This window comes from Homo sapiens, chromosome 4 (genome assembly GCF_000001405.40).
Source record: "Homo sapiens chromosome 4, GRCh38.p14 Primary Assembly".
Classification (NCBI taxonomy): domain Eukaryota; kingdom Metazoa; phylum Chordata; class Mammalia; order Primates; family Hominidae; genus Homo; species Homo sapiens.
In genome coordinates this window covers 64275932-64297379 of record NC_000004.12, presented here as the reverse complement: position 1 = coordinate 64297379, position 21448 = coordinate 64275932, and the positions used below count along the sequence as shown (strand labels likewise).

The 21448-nt window shown below is 31.3% G+C and overlaps 1 protein-coding gene across 8 annotated transcripts in view; it reads left to right on the top strand.

Annotated features, from left to right (window-relative positions):
• TECRL (trans-2,3-enoyl-CoA reductase like) overlaps window positions 1-21082 on the top strand; it is a 133163-nt gene extending 112081 nt beyond the window's left edge. For 2 of the 8 annotated variants that reach the window (XM_024453961.2, NM_001363796.1), the window contains 4 exons: window positions 7613-7670; window positions 15821-15906; window positions 16294-16339; window positions 20329-21082. In XM_024453961.2, the coding sequence (XP_024309729.1) occupies window positions 7613-7670; window positions 15821-15906; window positions 16294-16339; window positions 20329-20345 (207 nt within the window). In that variant the 3' untranslated portion in view covers window positions 20346-21082. Of the gene's footprint in view, window positions 1-7612; window positions 7671-8900; window positions 9257-15820; window positions 15907-16293; window positions 16340-17180; window positions 19679-20328 lie in introns of those variants that run through there. The other 6 variants (XM_005265662.6, NM_001010874.5, XM_024453962.2 and 3 more) reach the window with 4 other exon arrangements.

Genomic DNA, 21448 nt, shown 5'->3' with positions numbered 1-21448 from the left:
TAAGATGAAGAAAGTATTATTCATTTAAATTGATTTTGTTCCTGTCGTTATGTAAAATCAGATTATCACCTAGTAAGAAGATAATAGAAGAACCATGTTGAATAGAGTTGTAGTTAATTCTCGATTACCCATGTCAGATTAATCTATTTTGTAGACTGTTAATGGTTATTAATTTATTTTCATCTCCCTCTTGTTTTTTCTACTACTATTCTGAGTTTTCTAACATATTAAGCAAAATAAATTGTAAGGAAAACAAAATAATTTACAATGTATACATAATATGTTGTAAAATCAGGTTCCTATTTGGTGGAAAATTCTTCCATTTTGGTGAGGTTTTTTCTATCTCTATTATATCCAAAGAAATAGTCTATCACCTCTCCCTTGGTTTAAATTCTTTCTAACTTTCAACACAATTTGATCCTCAGATATGTTCGGGTATCACAAATCTACAGGAAAAATTAAGGAGAATCAAATACAGGCAAATTTATGAAGACATCAGAATAACTTTCCACACAAATTTTAGATGCAATCTTATTGTCTGATGTAAATATTGTGAATAAATTTTATAATTTAGTCTCTTTATATTTCCATGACCCCACCTCATCCTCTGAATCCAATTCCACCCAAAAGCCAACAAATAAAAATACCAAAATCACAATTGTGAAACAAAATATACTTTACCTAAAGAACCTTCCTATTTTCTTTATCTTTTTGTACCCTTAACTTTATTTTTACTCTCCAGAAGCAATTAAAGTTTGCCAATTCTTTGCAGAATGAGGATTTTACCAAAAAGGAACTCTTTTTCTAGCCTTTCTTAATGTCTTCAAAAATGAAGGAAGTGGAAGAAATTGATAATAGCATATAAGATATGGCTTACAAAGTAATTAAAATAACTATTTTCCCTAGTTTTGCCTCTGTGTCTTCAGTGTTGTCATTAGTTATTCAGTCACTTAGGTGTTTTAAAATTATTCCTAAAATGCAAATGGTCTTGGAGAAGAAAAAAAAATATGCTTTTATCAAGTAGGTATACCTCTTTTTGTAATATTTAGCTGAAAAGAACCTCGGGTACAGAAGTGGTCATTGATTAGTGAAGAGGGCGCTGGGAACAATGTATCATAGCTTTTAAAACAGGAGAGCAAGTCCCTACTATATAAACCACAGAAAGGCCAAGAAACTGCTTATGAAATTTGGCATTTATGGATAAGATGCATGAAAGAAAAAAGGGTGCCAAAGTTCAGTGCTTTCATTTTCAGCAGTCTACTGAGATTTGGTTATGACAAATTTTCTGATCACTTACCTACCATTGATAGGTACCAATAAAAGGATTTATACTTATTGACTGAAAACAAAGTCTAGTACTCTGTGTGTTTTCATCATTTGCCATTTTGCTCTCATCTCAAATTTCCTGAAGCATCTGATATAAAGAATAACATACACAGGAATCAATTTTTATACTTAAATTTTTGGGGATCACTACTTATTAAAAATTTATTTTGCAAACTAGTTGACTAATTAAAGATATAAAATTAATGGCAATATTGTGCTTCACTCATTTCATTATAATTTATAATAATTGTCTATTTTGAGCTACGACTAACTTACTCCAAACTGCAGAAATATAAGAGTAATGATTTAAATCAAAATCAGCAGTGATTATAAAACTATAGAGATTTCACTTGTTAGAATATGTGATATCGAATCTAATGTAAAAAGAACTCCTGTGAAAAAATCATGAATGTTTTCAAACATCATTTACTTCAGAGTTAGTGTATGTAAACTAACTTTCTTTCTGAAGATATTCACTTTATGGTGCTATTTTTATGCTATATTTTCATATTTTTATGTTATACAATATTGCATGAGAGCTCTATAAATTAAAAAATAATTCTGATATTTCCAAGGTTGTGATAATGAAATGGACCATCATAGTAGAGATGAAATAATTTTAAGCCTTAAGCAAATTCCAAAATCAAATGATTTGAATTATTTTTATTGATTGATAATAACATCTCCTATATCAAAATTTTTGCAATAAAATAATTGTTTCATGCAAAAAATAAGTTCATAAAATATATTAAAATATTAATACATATTTCACATTATGTAATAATATAAATGCAATATCTGAACTTTTATTTAGAGTCTTACCATTATTTATTTTGAAAACTGAAAATATATTGGTTAGTACATGTATTTTTGGTTAAACCCAAAATTTACACTAAATGTATTTCTTTTAAAGCACAATACATGTTATCTTTATGTCTGTATAAAAGATAGAAATGTGTATGAAGGAGCTTCATAATAAAAGTGCAGAAAGTACAAATTGAAAAAAGGTTTATAATTTTATGAACACAGTAATATAAATTATAATAAGATAAAATGTTTATGAATGCTGAAGCATTGTGATACTGGCTTATATTGTCAAAAGCACTTAATTCTATGTGGATATGCATTATCTATTAAAGTAGAAATTAAATTGTCCAAGATCAGAATAGTTAATAAATTTCCTAAGTGAAACTTTGTAATAATATATTTAGCTACAATTGTCCTTATTTTTGAAATATTGATTCAGGTAAAATAAATAAAACAGATATAATTATTATTATTACTATTATTGTTGCTATAGATAAAATAATAATAACTGAAACTAAACAAACTGAGCATATGTTATTACCACGGTTCTTTGTACATTGGTTCATACTACACAGATTTACAATTCCAGTTTTAGAAGATATGTAAGCATGCTTTCTTGAAGATTCATCAGACACTTTTTTTTTGTCCGTGAAAGCAAGTGTTTATTAGAGAAACAAACACCTTTGTAAGCAAACCATGAGTATATTATTACAACATGTTTCTTCGTCGGTACCTATTACGGCATATTTTGATGTCTAGCTATAACAGGAAAATACAAGTATGCTTTGCCAAAGACGCATCATAACCTATTTTCTTTCAGTGAATAAATGTTTGGCAAAGGAAAAAGATGAAAAGCGTTAGTGTTAGGAACATTTTAGCAATGTCTACATTTCAATTAAATTAATAAAATGACTATTACTTATTGCTCCAATGATAAAATTATAAGATATTGCACCTGCCGGCTGGGCGCTGTGGCTCACACCTGTAATCCCAGCTCTTTGCGAGGCTGAGGCAGGTGGTTCACTTGAGGTCAGGAGTTTGAGAACAGTCTGGCCAACATGGTGAAACCCCGTCTCTACTAAAAATACAAAAATTAGCTGGGCGTGGTGGCATGCACCTGTAATCCCAGTTACTCGGGAGGCTGAGGCAGGAAAATTGCTTGAGCCCGGGAGGCAGAGGTTGTAGTGAGCCAAGATCATGCCACTGCACTCCAGCCTGAGTATCAGAGCAAGATTCCGTCTCCAAAAAATATATATATATATATTTTATATATATATATGTAGCACCTGCCAAAAATTAATAATGATATTAACAATATCAATGCATATAAAAGTGAGAACAGTTACATTAAAAGATAAAACATCATTTTCATTCTTATGAAAATATTATGAGATCACAGTATAAGGATTAATTATTTTTATTGTGGAAACCAGAAGGATTTTACTAACACAAAATGACAGAGCCTGACTAATTGATGGCTACCAATTCTATATTAGGACGTGTGAGTTTTGTTCTATTGATACATCATTTTCATTTCTTTAAGGAAGAGAATGATCAACTTGATGAGGCCTGTAAAAAATTAACAATATTTAAATATTGTAAAAGTGGATCATTGCAAGCTGTCCTCCCTCGACCCCTTGCTTTAGTCATTGGTAATTGGTATCATTCCACAATGACAGCGGGTTACTGACCAAGACACAATGCTTAACAGTAAAAGATGAGCAACTTTATTGCTGAAATCCCATATATTATAATTCAATTGTGTCTTTCAACCTGAGAGTGAGATTTAACAGGGTGTATTTTTTTAAAAAAATTGTAGAGCACGGTATGCTGCATAATACATCACTTACAATAATATACATTAACAAAAGTCCTTTGTAGGTTATTAATTTGATACTGCCCTACACTGAACATTGTTAAATATTTGGAAGTACTGATTAAAAATAAAATTAATAGGTCAGAGAAATGAGAGTATAGAGGGTCCTGAAAAAGTAAGTGTTTTTATTTACTTTCTTGACCAAAGTATTTATTTAAGCAAAAGATTATTTTTGTGTGTAGACACTGATTCTTCAATATCGTATTAGTTGACAATTTATTTTGTATTTATCCTTATGACGATAACTCTAGATAATAGAATGGATTATTCGTTCGTTAACATTCTGCTATTATTCAAATGAATACTAGTTTGAAGCAAGAAGTATTCAAATTACTCAATAAAGATTATATGATATAAGTACAAATAAATATTTTTAAATTTGCTTTAAGCCACGCCTGCGCATAAAAATGTAAGGTTCATTTAAATTTTTTTTATTTATCAAACATCATCCTAAAGTTCATTATTACTTAAAACACTAGCACCTAGTGGATTTTTTACTAATTATGGGGAAAAAGAACATTACATATTATTTACCATCTTAACTATTTTAGTGTACACCTTATTAGTGTTAAATATAATCACATTGTAGAGCAAAAAGCACCTGGTTACTTTTTATGAAATAAATCTAGGCCATCTTGTTCTTGACAACAGAAGCAGTTCTGGCAATGTCCCTGGGTTGCTTATAGTTCTGTGAGTGTGTTTAGAAAATGTAAACATTTTTATTTGATAGGTTAAACTTTTTGACTAAAAGTACAATTATTAAAAATTTTTAATTGTGAATGATTAAGTCATTTAATATTCTTAATTTGTTATACTATAATAATGTAGGAAAATGATGCTGCTTCTTACATGTAGTGTTCAAGTACTATTTCTTTCTAAATTTATCTGGGCAATGTTTTCTTAGTATTTTTATTACGTTACTATGTGTTTATTGTCTAGAATATCTTGAACATCTGTGTCACATAAGGGACACACATAGGTAATACGTAGCATCTCATGTTTTATTATGTAAGATAATTTTAACTTTTAATAATGTAAAATCAAACTTCTTCATAGCATCTGCCCCAAACTTTGTTTATTAAATTTCTTTTTAAACTTACTGTATGCCAAATGAAGACATATTTAGATAAACATCAATCCAGGAGAAATATATGTCATGCTGAGAAATATTCCGGTGTTTCACATTTAATTGGCTCTGCAATTATAATCAGTAATAGAACAATGCATTGAGTTTTACAGCACTGACTGAGCTTCTTGATCTTACTCAGCCTTTACCTAAAAGGAAATTATATCACCAGTTTTATCTAATTCAGTTAGCATCGCAAACTGTATTGGATTCACCTGAAGGTGTAAAAGCCAGTGCTTAAAATGGAAATTACTAGTTATTATTGCTCTTTAAAATCCTTAAGAAGTTGCCAAATTAATATTTAAGAATCTCTAAGCATAGAGATATAGTTGTTTTTTCTCCCCACTCTTACCATGTAAGCATTTCATCAGTAGATAGCAAAATGGAAAAGCTGGCTTCTTTACCACTTTTTTTCTACCTTTCTCTCTCATATTTTTTGTTTTAGTATGTAATTATATTTTCTTCTAGGGACAGTTTCACCTAATGAAAAATTTGGTGTTATTATAAATCTATCCAGGCTCTAACTAAACCTATATGCTATTTTTTTCATGGCTCATTATTTGGTTAAACAATTGACGTTCCAATATTTAGTTTTGTTGTGATAAATAAGCAGGAAGAAGAAAATATTTTGATGTTTGAATGAGTATGAAAATATTAATAATCTCAAAACAAATACGTTTCATCAGAAGAATTATAATTTCTAAAACTTATTTTTTCACAAATTTTGGTAACAACTTGCTTTTTAATAAATATTTTATAATATTTTCTATTTTTGTGTTTGGCACTGTGAGTGATGGAAAACGAATATGACAAGCTGTCTAAGTTGAAAGATGTACAAAAGATACGAAGACTAAACAGAAATGTAACAAACCATTAGTTTAGTAATTATGGGTTTTGTAGTGCTAACGATTTGTTAGAATGAAGTCTAGAGAAGTGAGATTACTGTAGGATAATCTGTGGAAGTTTTTATTGATTAAATTGATAACTAAAATTATCACAATAATTTTATTGAGCAAATAGGCTGTGTAGGGTACTTGACTTTACTCAATTGTCATGAATTCTCTAGAGACAGAAGTTAATATTTGCATTTAGGTGAAGAAATGAAATTCCAAATGTGAAATTCACTAAATCTCTCATACATAGTAAATTAAATATGTGGCATGTGAATGCAGGTTCATGCCACAAAAGCCCACACACTTATCCACATTTGCATGTAAAAATTTCAACTTAAAAAGTATTACCTGAAAATTCAAAATTCCACTTTGTCTTTCTAATGATAACTTAAGAAACCAAAAGCCTTTTCGATAATTATTTTGTGTAGTTATGTTGGTACAAAATTTGTATTTGTATTGTTTTCTGGATCTTTAAATACAGATTTAATATATTTGGTGTATTTGTTTACATTATGTCCTGGGTGAATTAATTTATTGAAGATGATTATTTTAAATAGCATTTTTACCTAACAGTTCTAGATGATGAAAATGGATTTAAATTTTCTCTTTCAATCTATTTTTTCCTAAAATTTAGAAAGTGTTGAAATATATACCAGTTATTTATTGTGAGAAACATCCAGAAATTAAAGTCCATAGAACTATTATTATATATGAAAAATGCATACAGAAATGGTTGAAAAGAACAAAATCCGATATATTTTATGAGATTAATAACATTAAAGGCACTGAGTTTAATGGGTGCTCAACTTTTGGGATATATTACAAGTTGAATGACTTCAAACAATAACAATTTTGAATAACATGTTCTGTTATCAGTAACATAGTATTTATATGTCAAATACATAGCTTATGTTAAATCAGATGAGGTATATATGACAGACAAAGGAAAGGTCTTACCCTCACAGGACACATGTTGCAAACTGGGAACATTATTAGTCTCAGGCGATGGTGGTAAGCCTTTGATCTTGGAGGGACATAATGGCCTATTAACAGGGACAACTAGTAGAGTGCATATGATCAAGAGGTCATGATGACAGAGAAGCAGCAGGTTTCTTTGTGTGGCAGCACTGCTCACAGTAGGTTTTCCAAACTGAGCTGAAACTAGCTGGAAATCAAACAATCACCATTTCACTAGAAATATTTTTACTGTTAATGAACTGAGATTAATACGAAGCTATGCCAAATATGTCTTCAGCAAGAGTTGTCTCTGTATGATCTGGAAGTCTCCCCATAGTAACAAGTACAAAGCCGATTAACAAGACAGTTTAAACTTGATTATCAAACAGCGTGAAAAATATCTTCAGAATTTCCAACTTGTTGTGACTTTTTATTCAATATATGCCAGCAAGAACTTCTTTCATTGTTATAATTAAAAAAAATTTCTCTTTATGATTAGAATAAAATATATATCTTTTGAATCTTTGGGATTAATGTACAACACAGATTTTATATAACTCTAGAATATGTTTTTTTAAAAAATAGGCAGAGGTGTATCACACTGAAAGTGTTTAAAATGTTTTGCAGATTTGTGAAGCTGGGAATCATTTCATCAATGTAATGTTGTCTCATCCCAATCACACAGGTTAGTTCTTTTTTCTTTTTCTTTTCTTTAGAGTGAATTATGTTAACAATTATTTTTATAATCTTACTTCAAAAAATCTTTAAAAATCAAAATATCAATAGTTGGAAATACATGTGCCACATTTTTTCCCTTTTATGTCTAGTTTTTCCAAATATTTGAACCAAGTCTTATTCTCTAGTAATGATTTCTCTAAAATGAAGTGTGCATGCACGCTATCACCCTCCCCACACACACTAAACAACAATATCACTTAAATATGTAAATAAATGAACTAATGAATAAGAACAAAAGCAGTACAAAATCACTTGATGAATATCCAAATTACTAAACTCTCAATATTGATCCCACTTGTACAATATTTGATAAAGTCCTACTATTTCAAATTACCTTTAGTTTTTCTTTTTGTAATGATGGTAATCTTTCATTGAAAAATACAATGGCACTGAAATATCAATGCCTGGGAGAACATTTCAAAGTTAGTAGTATATTTAGGTTGGTGCAAAAGTAACTGTGGTTTTGAACTATGAATTTTAAATCATTATAGCTAGTCTCATACACATCTTTATTAATCAAAATAGGAACCATTATAATCAACACATTTTTGCCAATGAAAAGTAGTTTATTCTTGTAGTATAAAAATCCATGCTTCAGAATTCAACAAACTCTTGAAAAGCATTTTCTACCCCCTGCTGATCGTGGAAGCATCTTCCCTGCAAAACGTTGTCCAGATGCTTGAAGAAGTGGTAGTCAGTTAGTGAGAGGTCAGGCGAATATGGTGGATGAGGCAAAACTTTGTAATCCAATTCATTCAACTTTTAAAGAATTGGTTGTGTGATGGGCAGTCAGACACTGTCATGGAGAAGAATTGGGTCCTTTCTGTTGACCAATGTTGGCTGCAGACATTGCAGTTTTCAATGCATCTCATTGGTTTGCTGAACATATTTCTCAAATATACTGGTTTTGCTAGGATTCAGAAAGCTGTGGTGGATCAGACTGGCAGCAGACCACCAAACAGTGACCATGACCTTTTTTTGGGAGGGCAAGTTTGGCTTTGGGAAGTGCTTTGGAGCTTCTTCTCAGTCCAACCACTGAGCTGGTCATCACCAGTTATATAAAATCCACTTTTTGTTGCACGTTAAATTCCGAGCAAGAAATGGTTCATTGTTCTTACATAGAATAAGAAAAGACAACACTTCAAAATGACTTTTATATATATATATTTTCGATCAGCTTATGAGGAACTGACTTATCGAGCTTTTTCACCTCTCCAATTTGCTTCAAATGCCTGAGGACTGTAGAACGGTCGATGTTGAGTTCTTCAGCAACTTCTCCTGTAGTTGTTAAGAGGATCAGCTTTGATGATTCATCTCAATTTGTCAATGTCAACTTCTGATAGCCGGTCACTATGCTCCTCATCTTCAAGGCTCTCACAAAACTTCTTAAACCACCACTGCATTGTGTGTTCATTAGCGGTTCTTGGGCCAAATGTCTTGTTGATGTTGTGAGTTGTCTCCACTGCTTCATGACCCATTTTGTATTTCTTTTCTTTTTTTTTTTTTTAAGATGGAGTCTCGCTCTTGTAGCCCAGGCTGGAGTGCAGTGGTGTGATCTTGGCTCACTGCAACTTCTGCCTTTAAGCGGTTTCAAGCGATTCTCCTGCCTCAGCCTCCTGAGTAGCTGGGATTACAGGTGCACACCACCATGCCCAGCTAATTTTGTATTTTTAGTAGAGACAGGGTTTCGCCATGTTGGCCAGGCTGGTCTCAAACTCCTGACCTCAGGTGATCTGCCTGCCTCGGCCTCCCAAAGTGCTGGGATTACAGACATGAGCCACCGTGCCTGGCCCATGGCCCATTTTGAACTCAATTAAGAAAATTGCTCCAATTTGCTTTTTGTCTAACATCATTTCCATAGACTAAAATAAACATAAAATACCAGCAAGTAATAAGTCATTAGCAAAAAACATAAAGTGAGAAATGCCCATTAAAATGTTGTATAACATAACCACATTTATTTAATAATGTATTCCATTATAAAACAGCAAATTTCAACAATGCAAAAACTCAGTTACTTCTATACTCACCTGTATATTTGAAAAAGTTTACAGAGTCTCCATTATTTAAAGATATTTTTGGTAAATCAGTCATCTCATTTAGGCTCAATTACATGTAGGGATTCCCAACTGCTAACCCTATATAATATATAATTTTATTGTAAATTCAAATAGAAATGATAAACATTCAACATCAACTTGAATTTCTTAACATTTCCTTGCCTTCCACGCTTCTGGCAGGCTAGTGAAACATATAAAACATTTTCCAGAATAGTTGTTCTGTAAAATAAAATACATATAATTACAAGGGAAAATTATTTTATTAGAACAATGGTGAATATATGAAAAAGCTATAATATAAGCATATGTTTGTTATTACACATTACATAATATTGTGATGAGTACTCAACTTTTTGAGTATTGGTGATAAATTATGTATATGCAGATTTAAAAAGAAGTGTACTGTGAGTTAAAAATATCTGTGCTTTATCTTGGTGAAAAAAAATTACATGTAAGGCCAATGCTGTTGTAGTTTGTGGTCCTCATTTGCAGTGGAGTGAAGCCTATATTTCATTAAGAGATTGAATGCCATTTTTATCTGATCCAAATTCACAGATACATTGAATTTTCTTTGGATGCATGTGAATCACAAGTGAAAAATATCTGAGGGTCTAAATTTTTTTAGTAGAGAAGCGAAACACAATATAATCTAATAAAATGCTAGCATTGCCAAAGTTAGAAATATCACAAATTTTAGTCTTATCTAGGTGACTAGCAATGTAATCAACTCAAGCTTCTTCATTTATTCGAAATATAGTGTCATCATTTGAAAATGAAAATTTTAAGTCATCCAGTAATTTTGAAATTGTTCATGTAAGAAGGCCCCCCTCTTTTAATGTTCACTCTTTATCTTGCTTTGTATATTGCTCTTGAGGAATCAGATGCCAACCTAATTCTCTCTCCTTTGTCAAATGATGGTTTTTTTGCTTCGATGTGCAGGTGACTTTTTTATTATAAAAGTCTATGAATTTTGAGGGAGTGTCTAAGGGTTGATGATTCCCAACCAATTTCCCCAGATCACTAGGTACTCTTCTAGTAGGTTAATCCATGTTTTTTTTTTTTACGTTCTAAAAAATTTCCTCAAATTACAATTTTAAAATTAGTTTTATTACATTGTGGAGTATAGGGGGGTTACACTGTACCTATGTTCCTTCTTCTGTCTCTAGCTTCTCTATCACTTTCTCTTTGACTATCTTTGTCCCTTTTTTGGCTATTCTTTTTATCTGCTTAATATCCTCTGTTCTGTTGAATATTACATTCTTAAGCAAATGAAAATATATTTCATATTACTGGGAAAGTTTCTTCCTTGTCCACAATTTCTTGAGTACAATCAACTCTTATTTTGTATTATATCTTCTTGTTTTTTTTCCATATCTATTTTCAGTTTTGGGATTTCTTAAGGATACATTCTTTGGTAATTGTGTGTGTGTGTGTTCTGTAAATTTTGTTTTGTTTTCCTTGTGGGGGGTTAGTTTTTGTCTGCAAATGAAAACACTTTCTAGTTTATTCACACAGAAGCATCATGTAAATGCTGATTGATTTACATTTATTATTAAATGTGTGAATTGACTTTGAAGAAAAATAACATAGTTTTTTACAGATGAGGTTACTGAAATCTCTAAAAAACAAAGTGTGTTCTGGAAACAGAGGAGGTTTTTCATCGTGTCTTCTCATCCTCTAACATCCTTGTTTTCCAAATTCCTTGAATCCCAGAACATGCTTCCTTCTTTCCCTTCCCTTTTAAGCTTCCACATGATGCCTTCCCTCTCTGAGCAAACTTCTCTGGGCATCATTTTCTTTCTTGGAAACAATGTCTTCCAAGATGACAACCTCTGGCCTCAACTAATTTCAGATAATTGTATTCAATTTCTCCCTATTCAGGGTTCTGATCTATAAAGTCCCAGATCTTTTCTCAAAGTGAACTCTCATCTTTTGATTATGAATTTTTAATAGCTACATACTCAATGCATTATTTTTCTTTACATAAAATCTTTATCAGTTCCTGTGTCAGCTCTAAACTGGTGTCTCCTAGTCTTGAATTTTTATTCCCTCACTAACATATTAATTGGAGTTTGTTGTAATATCTATTAGATGTGCTTTAGGCATGGTTATGTCTAGAAGGGAACCATTTAATATTGATTGTACAAAATGTCATGAGTCATGTTCTCAGGTGGCAGAAATTTGTATAAAAGAAGTTTGTTAGGAATTATGGAAAAGAGGCAAGGAATGAGAACCATGCCAAAGGGGAAGTTGAGCTGTGATGTAGTCACAAGAATGGACTCAGTCAACTCTATTGGGTATCTGAAGCTAGGATAACCCTGTAGAGGTGTCAAGAGTTGGAATGACTGGAGACAGATAAGTTGGATATGAGTCTACCTGGGGAAGAAAAAGACCTTGTAAGGCAGTTCCCTTTAGTGAAGACCATTTTCTCAGAGGGTATGACAGTTGAAAGAAAGCTTCAAATGTACATATTGTGCAAACTACAAAGTATATATATTCCAATTATTATTTATTTATGATCTGGATAAATTACCTTTGTGAACCCACTTTGTCTAACAGTCCTTAAAATGTGAAAATGCCACTTTTTCTAGTATATGGTTCCCTGAATCAATGAAGTCCTTTTAGTAAAGATCACTGAAATCATTATCATGTGCATTTGTTTTGGTGTTACAATATCTTTCCTCCCAGACTATTCTTCCCTCAGTGAGTTTAGAGTCTTAGAACTGATTCACGTTCCAATACTGGGAAAGGAATAGTAGATCTGACATTGCACCAGCTGTCTCAAGTCTCTTAACTATTCATCTATAATTTATTTTGTTTGTCTAAATTTAGCAATAGCATTGTTGGGTATCCAACTATCTAGCTTCTAGAGACATTGTGTTCTACTAGCCAAACATAACTTTCTGTGGGTCAAGCCTCCTATGAACAGGCCATTCATTTTGGCTCATGAACAATTAAGTACTGTAATTGGAACTGCCTTGATTTTCTAGGGAGTGGTGTGAGGAAGGGTCCTTTAATCCCGTTCACTACTAGTCATCTCAGTTCTAAGATGATTTCACTTACAGTAAGCCTGATACAGCAAAGAGCCAATGCGAATCTTAGTGATGATGGTGTTCCTTTCACTACCATATTCCCTGTATTTTTGAAAAGTGGTGCATCCTATTGGTTCTCCCATGGAACATGAGAAGAAACCTGAGAACACGAAACGAGGGTAAAAATTCCTTGCATAGAAAGAAGCACTCTCTTTTCAACCTTGCGTAGACTATCTGCTCTAGGATTCCTATTTCTCTAAGGCACTTAGCACCTTCTTTCCCAGCCTGCCATGGAAATTCTAACATTTCTTCTTTGCTTATTGTGGGCCATTGCTTTGTTCATGCTTCCAGGTGCATATCATTAGTGTGTTTGTACAATCTTAGAGGGATATTTACTCCTATATTCCAGGACAGTGCTCCAAAAACATAAACAAATCTTTATTCAATTTTATACTTTACCCCTCTTTTCAAACACCCTCAGATTCCAACCCCATGTGTATTCTCCTATAATTTGTTGGTTCATGCTGGGTAGGTTCTGCAGCTCCTTTGGGGCATTATCTTTTTTGTTCTCTGTCAGCCCCAGAACAGCCTCAGGTAGTTTATATTGTGATATAACCCTAGTTGTAGTGGCTAGAAGAAAAGATAGGGGAGATCTTCAAGGGGGGTATTCTTGCAGTGTAGTGCCTTCTGTGTTGCTTTTAAGGAAGGATGTGCTCAACTTTCATAGGGAAGAGTGGGCCACCTCTGCAGGCTCAAGGAATTTATGAAAACCTAGATATTCCAAGATTTTGTGGTAAACAAACTTGACTTAACAGATCTGCATTGGATTGGAGTTGTACATTCTTTAGAGTTTGACTACTTTTGCAGTTAAGACCTGGACCTGTTCCTTAGCTTTTTCTGCCCTCTTCGAGCCTCTTTGCATACTATCTAGGTGGACCTCTAACTTTCACAACTGGCTTTTAATTGCCAATTAGCAGTTTGTTTTAGATGTGTTTGTTGAGCCATTCAGTCCCACTTGTAATATTAGACCAGATAGAATATTGTTTTCAACCACTATAACATAACAATATACCAGTAGTAAAAGATTTTTACACTTGGATTGCTACCCTGTACCATTAGCTGTCTGTCTGAACCTACCATCAGCTATGGAGTACTCATTGCAGGCCTTTTGGTAAGTCATTCAACTCTAAAATGCCATTCCAACATCTGCTTTTTGGGCCATTCCTGGTGCCAACTATGTAAGCTGGGTTTTCTGGATTGCAAATGCCAGGATGGAGATTAATACTCAGGAGGATTGTTAAGGAGTAGTTTTCTGGATAGAAGAAATAAATCATATTTAGGTAGGAAATTGAGAGCGATATAGTCTCAACAAGTCTCCAATGATTGCATGGGACATTCTAAAACTGGGATGAACAATCCATGTTCTTCTGAATTGAGTTAATCAATTTTCAATATTGATCAAATACCGTAGTAAAGCTAAATCAGTGAGTGTGACCTTGGGTGAGGTTTCTTCCAACTATAGGGAGTACTGAAAGTTGAAGTTTCTCTGCCAGTAGCACTCCCTGAAGAAATAGAATAAACCTTATATGCCTAAAGAAGAATCTGGTGGGGCAGCATTTTAATGTAAAAAACCTCCTGACTTTAATTTAATAGAAGCTCTATTATAATAACTATAGGTTGAGAGAACATTTATGAAGAATGTAAGTATTAAATTAGTAACTCCTAAACTTATTTAATATTACAGTTAACAGCAACTGTGTATACTTGAAACAATATTATCTATATACATATATTTTTCTGTGTCATAAGGCATATCCATTATTTAATCGACAAACTAGGTCTGGAAAAAATGTAGATTTGTAGACCCTTGATCATTCCACACCTCTAGGGGCTGAACACTCATAAACTACAGGCTCTAAAGCAGACTATTTCCTGAAACTTCTGCCTCTGAAATTCAGTAACTATAACTTGGGTAGATTCCTCAATTATCTTTTTTTTATTAATATAGGACATTACACAAAGGTGTCTACAAAAATGCTGTAAAAAATCAGTAATAACAAAAGGCCTACATATTTATTTTTATGAACAGTTGTAAAATCTGCACAATACTTAGCATAATTTTTAACTTTGATATTTCAGCAATTGTTACAATTTTGAAAACAACACACTGACATTTTATTATGACTTCAGAGTTATAAGTAAAAGAGTTTAGCTGATTTGTTATCTGATTAAATCTTGGTATGGAGAATAAAACAGTAATTTTATAATTCATATTTACTTTTACAAATGTCACAGCTCCAAGTTCAACCTGAAATCATTAAAAATTTGTTATCTAAAATGTTTCTTAAAAACAAGTGAAAGGGGAAAATAATTAACAAAAATAAAGTGACAATATGTGAAGTATAATGAGAGATGTAACTATCAATCCTGACTGCTGAACAGAAACGTGGTATCTCAGAATATTAACTATACTGATATTCAGTGTAATCCTTTTATTAGAGGTGTGCATACTTTTCTGGTATAAATGACATCTTTATAAAATTCCTTATGACTTTCACCAATTTAATACAGGGATTTTTGAGGTATTTAATAATCTCAAACAAATGTATCTTCTTTGATAGTAAAGGGGAATGTGAAGAGGTGGGCAAATGTTAAAACACACTTTATAATTTCAGCATGTAGTACTATTTCAATCATTATAATGTAAAAATAATTTATATATATTTAAGATCTTAAAGAATTGATTATCCTTATGTACTCTGCAGTGTTACAGCAACATAGCTGTAGACATGGTATGAAAATGACAGCTATTTTATTTGAGTCAAAAGGTTATAACATTTAAAGCTGGGTCTCTTCTGAGTAATTTGCAAAATAGGTTACTATAAATACGTGATGACATTTCATGTGGTACACAGTTATTTTGGGGAACTTAGTATTATATAATAAGCATATGATCAGATTTGCAATGTGTAGCATCATTGACATTTTACTTTCCTTTGAAAAAGGAAACAATGCCTGTTTCCCAAGTCCAAATTATAACCCCTTCACATGGATGTTTTTCCTGGTTTCATGTCCTAACTACACCTATGAGGTATGTTATTTATGTATGTAAATGCTTGAATCCTATTCATGATATACTAAATGCATGTGCTTATGTATTTACATGTATTATAAATTAATATATACAGGAAAAATATAGAGGTCTTATCCACAGATCATGGTATAACAAAATAGAACATTTCAATCACAATTTTTTCAAATATTAAACAATGTCTTTCATTTTCTTATAAATATGATCCCATTTAATGAGATTGCTTATGACTTTATATGTAAAAATTAAATTATTATTTCTTGAAAATGTATTCCTATCTATAAGTTTTCTAATATTTTAAGCCTTAAAATTACCTGTTAAAGCCACAAATGAACAAATTACTAGATTCCATTTATGTATGTGCTAATTTAAGTTTTAATATAACAGATTGGATCATGGATTAGTTTCACAGTCATGACACAAACACTGCCAGGTAAGACCTAGATATACTGATAATTAATCAAAATAAATGCATCTTTAAGATAAATGGTTTCTGAGAAAAAGTTATTATAGTACTAAAGTATAGCATGATTGTAAAAGGATTTCATAGTTTCATACTGAGTTTGATTTTTAGCAGTATTAAAATATATTGAAGTACTTTTGCTCTTTGTCTCTGTATAATTGTTGCTTAATCCAAGCCAGGGATTGTAATCCAAATGTATTTATTAAGCAATGAAGTTTTGTTTAGAAGAAGTTTTGATAACAACGCATTTCGCTTGAAACTTCTTGTGCATGTGCACAGGCATGTGTATGTGTTTTGTCTTCAAAGGAAGAGTTGGGTTGTATGAGAGTTCATCTTGAATACTGAGCATTTTAACACACACTAAGAAGTTGAATTGCATGATTTCCATATAGTAGAAGGGACATATGTAATGTCCATTTTATCCATTTTGTTATATTGTACAAAAGTTTTGAATCACAATTAATGTGGTTTATTATATTATGTGCATGTAGAGGAATATTATATGCATACAGGCAACTATTATTGAAAATTTTTAAGTACAAAAATAAATCCTTATTTGGGAATATTTTGTGGCAGTGGTATATAAAATATGTAGATTCATTTTTAATTTTTAATGTATTTTCTGTGTTTACTCATTCATGCGATATTGATTGGCTATTGCTTGGGAATGGGTATGAATAATGAAAATTGATAAGAAATTATGCAACATTTGAGAAACATCTTAAAAGCTAAACATGCTAGGGATCCTTTTCCTAATATAACATTTCATAGAAATAAGAAAGAAATAATAATTATTTCTTTTTTCTTCTAGTTGGAATTTTTACACTTCTGATGAGTATCCAGATGTCTTTGTGGGCACAAAAGAAACATAAGATTTATCTGAGAAAATTCAATTCATATATTCATAGAAAATCAGCAATGATTCCATTCATATTGTAAAAAAAGAATCTTATCTCCTATAGAAAACAGCAACATATAAATTCAATAAATAAGACTTAGTTAAGGATAGTTAACTATTATACTCCAACAATTCATGAGCAACAGTATATACACTGAGTAAAAATATAAAATAGTAAAATTTCACTAAATTTAGAGAAATGCACATGGTAATAAAAAGTATAAATTATAAATGCAATTAACTAAGAACAGCTCTGAATGTATTTGCATGGGATTGGTCCTTGAATAAAATTGTCTTACTTCATTAATACTTCACAATACTATTTGCATAAGACAAAATACCACAGCAAAAAAAAAAATCTGATTAACAAATGAAAAAGCGATCTGAACAGACATTTCCCAAAGGAAGACATATACATGGTCAATAAGTATATTTTTAAAATGCTCAACATTAACTATTCATACAGAAATGCAAATCAAAACCACAATGAGATATCATCTCATCCTAATTAAGGTGACTATTTTCAAAAAGACAAAAAATATGACAGCCGTGGTGGTTCATATCTGTAATCCTAACACTTTGACAGGCCAAGGCAGGGGAATTGCTTGAGTTCAGAAGTTTGAGATCTGGGCAACATATTGAGACTCTGTCTCTAAAAAGCATATTGAGACTCTGTCTCTACAAAAAAATTTTAAAAAGTAAAAATTAGCTGGGCGTGGTGGCACATGCCAGTAGGTAGTCCCAGCTACTCGAGGTTGCTCCAGCTCAGGCGTTCAAGGCTACAGAGAGCCATGATTAAACCAAGGCACTCCAGCCTGGGTGACAGAGTGAGACTGTCTCAAAATAAAATAAAAATAACATATTGGTGAAGATGCGGGAAAAAAAAAAGAACTCTTAGACACTGCTGGTGGGAATGTAAACTAGAGCAGCCATGTGGAGAACAACATGGACTTTCTTCAAAAATTACAAATAGAACTATCATATGATCCAGCAATACCATTACTGGAAAAAGGAAATCTGTATATTAAAGAGACATTTGAACCCTATGTTTACTGCAGCACTATTCACAATAGCCAAGATATAGGAGCAACCTAGGTGTCCAACAACAGATGAATGGATAAAGAAAATGTGGTATATATACACAATAGAATACTATGCAGCCATAAAAACTGAATTCCTGTCATTCAGGACAACATGGATGGAATTGGAGGGCATATGTTAAGTGAAACAAGCCAGGAACAGAAAGTTAAACATTGCATGTTATTACTTATATGTGGAAGCTAAAAAAATTGATATCATAGAAGTAAAAAATAAAACAGAGGATACTACAGGCTGGGAAAGCTGCAGCAAAGGGAGACTAGAGAGAGATTTGTTAAAGGATACAAAGTTACAGCTTGGTAGGAGGAATAATTTCTGGTGTTCTATACCACTGTAGGACGACTATAGTTAAGAACATTATATTCCATTTAGTTTCAAATAGCTAAAAGGAGATTTTGTCCCCAACAAAAAGAAATGATAAATATTTGAAACCATGGATACTCTAATTTCTCTGATCTGACCACTATAAATTATATGTATTGAAACATTATTATGTATCTCCCAAATATGTTCAATTCTTATGTCGCTCAAAAAATAAAATTTAATTTAAAAAGTATCTGATTTTTAAAGTAAATATTTTTTAAAGTTTTGACATTTAAATTACTTGAATCTCATTATTTTGACAATAATTTAATTCTTTTATTGTTCAATCTGTTAGTGAGATGTGTCATAGGTATTATGTCATTAGTTCAAATTCTTGCGGAAATTATAGCTATATTAAAAGTGTAACATTTTTATTTAGTTGTGTACTTATTTGTTAATAATACAGACATTGTATGTTATCATACTGAAATTTACAATTAAAATATTTTCTGTAGATTATTTGAAAATCATTCTAAATATATATTTTGAAATATATAGATTATATTTGTATGTAAATTATATTTATACATCTTCTGAAATATATTTCAAAATATGTGTGTACGTGTGTATATGTGTATATATATACACATATATATACACATACACAAATATATGCATATTTCAAATGGATTGTATGCACTTGCAAAGCAAAAGTACATTGGTAATTTGGGCACATTCAGAGTGGAAAAAATTTGTTCTATTTTTACATCTTTAAATACCTATCTTCTATGAAAGCCTATGTGCATGTGTGTGTGTGTATGAGTTTCTATGTGAGCATGCATATATACTTCACAAAGAGATGACCTATATAAATCAAAGTACACATTATTTAAAATATTTAAAAAAATTTTCAGTTTCTTCATTTTTAAATTGTGATTTTTAGATTTGTTAGTCTATGGAGTATTTTCAATTCTCAGATTATACATATGTTATAAAATATGTTCATTAAAGCTCTTAGATTATATGCATATATGACAATATATACATATACAACTATATACACATATACAACTATATATATGTGACAATATATTGTAAAGCAGGTCTATATACACTGGGTAGGGGCTGTTTATTACTAACATATGTGGCCACTAAAGAAATAACAAAAAGCCCCTTTAAAAGCCTTATAATTCCCAAAGCATACTATTAAAATTTCTAAGGAGAAAACAATAACAACAATAAAATTCTCACTCCCTAATATCTATTCAGCTAAATTGTATGATATCATTTAATGATCTTAAAAAGAAATGTCAATGCAGTAAATCATATATACCTAATGCAGCTATATGATCAACTACTTGTGATAAATGTCCCTTTTTTGAAAGACTAAGAATAGTTTCTGTTTTTGTAACTCGATCCTGACAAATAGTAACCTAGGAAGTTTGCACATTCTTGTAGGACTAGAAGAAGGACTTTAAGTATGGGGTACCTATATGACAGACATTTTTTTTCCCATTATACTACACTCCCTTATGCCAGTTGCTCCATCATACTTTTTTTGTATCAGTTATTCCCTTACTGTTGGCAGACATACCTTAGTTAAAGGATATCTTAATTATGAAATGTGTTTTTTAAATTTATTTCTCATTTTTATTTCCAGGTGGTCTCACTGCCTAAGACATCAAAAGAAAAAGCCTGACAAATTTACACCATCTTGTTGTCAATATTAATGCTACAGGTATAATCCTGTAGCAGCCATGTACACATTTTTAGCCTTTAAAACCTAACCTTCATTTACAGGTTTTAGGAGTTACTATACATAAGTATGTACACATATGCATATGTATATGGGTATGTGTGTAAATGTGCACACTTACAAACTTTAATGATACTCTAAATTAATATATAAGATTTATGTAAATAATAAGTTTGCATTGCTGGCTAAAATATTGTGCATTTATTTTAATATAAAACAAATCTATATAATCTCACATATTCATGGTTTTTTGCCACATATCTAAGTAACTTAATTTTAGCTTATGGAGTATTTTGCAGGAGCAGCATTCAACACTGCATAGATTAGTTGTAAGTGTCTCAATTACATTTACATATCAGTGTGTTTGGTGGGGAAAGAAGATGAAAAATAAAACATTTGAATATAAAATTAAAATAAATAAAATATGACATTTATTTATGATAGATGTCATAATTTGATCATATTCATAGGAAAAACATTAATGAAAAATTTAAATGCAGAAAAATATATACACACATTATACAAATTAACAATAACATTACTACCACAGTTACTTATTGAAGTAATATGCTGTCTTTAATATGTTTCATTATACCATGTTCTCTCAGAGTTAACACTCTCATCCTATAAATAAAAGATATATTCTCAAATTCTAAAATTCTTGTGTGTGTATTTTCAACAGTTGTTATTTTTAGGTCAAGAAAAATATTATGACAATATTAGCAACTGTTAAATTCTATGCTTTGAGACGTATAGGCCTCATTTCTAATTTAATAAGGTATGTATATATTTGATATTTTCATAAAAGCAATACAGGGTTTGGCCAAGAAGTTTTGCCGTCTGTGAAAGGCATGCATTTGATGCTATTATAAGCCATATTAACTGGAGAACATTTCTAAAATACCTCCATTTCACATGCAAATTTTATACTCTATATATTGATGGATTTGTTTATGAGATTGAGAGTCAGATGTAGCAATTGGTGAGAGAGGAAACAGTTACAAGGCAGCCTCTACTTTTTAGA